This window comes from Homo sapiens, chromosome 4, assembly GCF_000001405.40.
Source record: "Homo sapiens chromosome 4, GRCh38.p14 Primary Assembly".
Classification (NCBI taxonomy): Eukaryota; Metazoa; Chordata; class Mammalia; order Primates; family Hominidae; genus Homo; species Homo sapiens.
This window is the reverse complement of record NC_000004.12, coordinates 92,097,702-92,102,536: the sequence shown is the minus strand read 5'-3', so window position 1 is coordinate 92,102,536 and position 4,835 is coordinate 92,097,702.

The window sequence follows — 4,835 nt, the reverse complement described above, 5'->3', positions numbered from 1 at the left end:
AAACCAAGGAATACCTGGCTACCCGAAGCTGAAAGAGGCAAGAAAGGATTCTCCTCTCTAGCAGCTTTGGAGGAAGCATGACCCTATCAGTATCTTGATTTGAAACTTCTAGCATCTAGAACAGTGAAAGAATAAATTTGTGTTGTTTTAAGCCACCCAGTTTGTGGCACTTTGTCTCAGCATCCCTAGGAAAGTGATACAATTTTTAAGTCATTGTGGACTTTTTTGGGTTTATTCAGTGTAGCAATTAACATCACTTAATACACAAGGAAGAGCCATGGTTTTGACACTGGGATTTTAAAAAATTATTGTTCGTGTGACGGGATGAACAAGCTTTGAAATTGGAACAGAGGTCACAGTGAGACAAAAGCAATTCCCCAGTTTCACAGTTGAAGCAATTCTACTTCCCTATAGTTGTTTTGAGGTATTTCCAAGGAATGAGTACTTTGTGATTAGTCATTTTCTCTCAGAATCAAATAGCCTTGCCAAGAAAGGGAGTTATTAAACAATCCCCATGACTGGTTAGCAATTCTCTCTTTAAGTATGTGAAAAGTCTTGTTTGGTAACCATCTATGCTTAAATACAAAAATTAAATCTAATTATTTTGAAATTTCTTTGCTTCCCCAAATATCAAAAACACAAGATTTAAGCAAGCTCCAAAATTGCTCAATAAATTTTTTCTGTGCCAATTCTTATTGCATAAGCTGCTTTCCTCTCTGGCTACTAACCCTACACCTTAATCACATAAACTCTGAAACTAAGACTCATGTCTTAAGAAGTATTTAAACAACACTAATTTCTAAAATAGGTGATGTAATGCAGTTATTCAGAAGGAAAAATATCTCAAAGACATTTAAGTAGCAATCCATTTGAAAACAGTAGGCTGTGAACTGTTTATGAAAAGCTTGTGGCTGGAATGGGTTTCCACCTTTATGTAAGAAAGACCGAAATGTACAGAGTAAATTTTACAAAAGATCAGAAAAAAAAAAAAAAAAAAAAAAGAGAGAATAAAGCTTTATGGCCGCATTTAGCATTGGAAAAGGGGCAAACTGGTAACCATAACTAAATATCTGATCTGTTTTACCACAATCAGTAAAACTTGTATCTATTTACCACTGGGAATATAACAAAAGCATCTGTGGTATACTAAATGAATTAACAACAATAAAAATGACAACAAATCCCTGAGATAAACAAACAAGATCTAAGCTGACAACCACATAGGAATTATGTAAAGAGCAGTAATATCTGATGCAGAGGATGGGGTACCCCTGAACTGCATTCAAAAATTGCTAACACATGGCAGCCTACAGCAAGTGCTCAGCCAGCTCCCTGCCAGAGAAACATGCCTTATCCACAGGTTATAGAACAAACACAGATGCAGCAAAATGAGTCACCAGAGGAAAACAAAAGCCTAAATTGAAGGTAAATGAAGCTTTGTGCACATGCATGACAAGAAATCCATTGAGCAAAACTAATTTTATATCTGTGCCAGAATGGCTGTCTTTTATGTTGGGAATAGGAAACAGGAGGGAAAGGAAAGTCACATAATAGTAGACCTTGAAGTGTACTAAGATAGAGAATACCTTCTGTACTGGAAGAAAAAGGAAAAAGAAAAAAAAAATGTATTCTAAGAGTTAAAATTCATCTACAGAGCTCTAAAATGAAATAAAGATATATTGGTACATATAAGAGAGAAATAGAAAGATGTATAAAAAAGAAAATACTGAGAATAAGAAAAATGTTCAATGGAAGTTGTAAGAAAAATACAAAAGATTCTAGAAAAATGGCTTCCTTTGTAATGCACACAAAATGATATAAAAATCAATCATCACCAGGAATATATTTTTATAAAGTTGCTCTCTAATTCTTTCTGTTTTTTAAAGTTACCATGTAACTATCTTATTTTATTGGAATCAATTATTAGCACTGAAGGAAAATTAATTTCTGAATTGTATACTGGCATAGACATTTCTACTCATTCAAAACAAAAAGTCTGTGAAACATTTCTTGCCCCTTTAACTTAATGCAGCTTCTGCAGAATGCACATACGTTTGTGTGTCTTATAGGATAGTATTACCACAAATTTCTTGAGGCAGAGGGCTATACATTAGTCCCTTGACTAAAATTAGTTTAGTCCCTAAAATTTGTTTAGGATCTCTATACTATTTTTCACTTATATTAAAAGCAGAGCTCTTTAGGACTAATTTCTTATCAGAGAAAAAAGTGGGATTTTCATACCTCACTATGAGTTAAGTTTAGTTAGCAACTTTGATGTGAATTCACCTTAGCTTCCTTGTCTTTTTAATGAGGCAATGTGATTGAATGAATTTAAGTATTCCAAATTCCTTTTCCAAGTGTGTCAATAGCATGAAGTGACCTTGGAGAGGATCTTGGCTCATACATAATAGTGTCTTGGTAGAAAGCCATTTGGCCCTAATCGAGTAGTGGATCAGCTCATCCTGCCCATTTGCCACAGACCTGCTATCTTGGACGCATGCTGCCCAGATGAACATTCCTGGTTTATAGCCCCAAGTGCTGGCTCCTAAGAGGAGGGAAGGAAAGTGAAAATCACTCTCTCTCCTGACACTGATTCCCTCTGAGGAAAATCTGTCTTCATTTAATTTGTTTAGAAGTCTTATATAGGTTAAAGAAGCAAGTTCAATCAGTGAAGCAATCTAAACTGGAGTTTTCTAAAATAGCAGACTTGCAATGAAGAGCTTACTGTACAATTAGGAAGGGATGAGAATGCATTTGCTAAAATTTGTTGATCTCTTTAGGAATGGAGATAAATTTGGGTGCTTATGAGAGAAAACTATGATACAGTTAGACCAGATCAATGAAGACTATATGGTAGAAAGGCCCTGTAGCTTTTTCTTATTCTTTTCTTATTTTTCTTTTCTTTGTGGAAGGAAATAAAAAATAAGATGCCAATGGGAAAACAACAAGAGAAGCTAGTGGCCAAAAGAAAAGCAAAAGGCTAAAGATAATATATTTGTCATCTAACAAATGAGGTTCTCTGCTTATTAAAATTTTCTGATAAAAAATAGAAGCAAAGTCGTTTATTTGAATTTTGATTCTTTGAGAAAAGTAACAGAAAACAAGGGACTTTTCAGTAGAGAATGCAGCCCATAATGCTGAACCTTCTCAACTGGTGATTCTAAACACCTCAGAGTAAATAAAACCTTTAAATTCATTTATATTAAATCTACTAGTGACCCTAGGGCTATTTGAGCCCAGAATCATGATCTGTAACTTATAATACATTTTGATTCTGTAAGAAAATAATCCATATAGGGCATAAGAACTTTTAAAGTGGAAGTTTGTTTACGGTACTGTAACTCCTGTTGAGTTTTTTTTTTAATTATACTTTAAGTTTTAGGGTACATGTGCACAACGTGCAGGTTTGTTACATATGTATACATGTGCCATGTTGGTGTGCTGTACCCATTAACTCATCATTTACATTAGGTATATCTCCTAATGCTATCCCTCCCCCCTTCCCCCACCCCACAACAGGCCCTGGTGTGTGATGTTCTCCTTCCTGTGTCCATGTGTTCTCATTGTTCAATTCCCACCTATGAGTGAGAACATGCGGTGTTTGATTTTTTGTCCTTGTGACAGTTTGCTGAGAATGATGGTTTCCAGCTTCATCCATGTCCCTACAAAGGACATGAACTCATCATTTTTTATGGCTGCATAGGATTCCACGGTGTATATGTGCCACATTTTCTTAATCCAGTCTATCATTGTTGGACATTTGGGTTGGTTCAAGTCTTTGCTGTTGTGAATAGTGCCGCAATAAACATATGTGTGCATGTGTCTTTATAGCAGCATGATTTATAATCCTTTGGGTATATACCCAGTAATGGGATGGCTGGGTCAAATGGTATTTCTGGTTCTAGATCCCTGAGGAATCGCCACACTGACTTCCACAATGGTTGAACTAGTTGACAGTCCCACCAACAGTGTAGAAGTATTCCTATTTCTCCACATCCTCTCCAGCATCTGTTGTTCCCTGACTTTTTAATGATCGCCATTCTAACTGGTGTGAGGGCTAATATCCAGAATCTACAAAGAACTCAAACAAATTTACAGAAAAAAAAAAAACCCCATCAACAAGTGGGCGAAGGATATGACCAGACACTTCTCAAAAGAAGACACTTATGCAGCCAAAAATCTCCTGTTGAGATTTCTATGACACTGTGGTTTGTCAAACTGGCGAAGCTGAACTACATTTCCAAGAATGTTTCTGGTTAAGACTGGTCACAAGACAAGTGTGTGTGAGATTTGGAAGGCAGAAAGGAAGCAATGGCCATATTTATTCTTGGGAGGTTGAATTAGATTGTGCATGTCTTTGCAGAGCTGCTAGATCATCTTGTTGATTTGGGCAACAAATGATTCCAAAGGCCAGTCCTCTTGAAATTTCTTCCATTTATAACCTCCAAATTATTGTGTGAGAAGGGCAAGGGGATAGTCAGAGAACATCATGGATTCATTCCAATGAGAGATAAACAGCAAGTTCCAGGTTGTTCCTTGGGTGCCCTGGTTGTCACTGCTCTTCCCCACTTTCCCTCTGACTGCCAATCCAGTGACTTCACACTTCGCACCAGATGAAGAAATAGCCAAACCAAGATTGTTTTAGCAGCTTCTACAATCATGTAAGGTTGCATTGCTCTACACATCTATCATTCTACAACATTTCTAGTAGTTCTGAATGAATGCTGTTCTCCCTAAATGCTTTGCTGTATTTCTAATTCTGGTATATATTATAATCCACTTCCTTAGACTACCATGCTGTTTTTTACATTATACTGTTACATTTTCTCATTAAT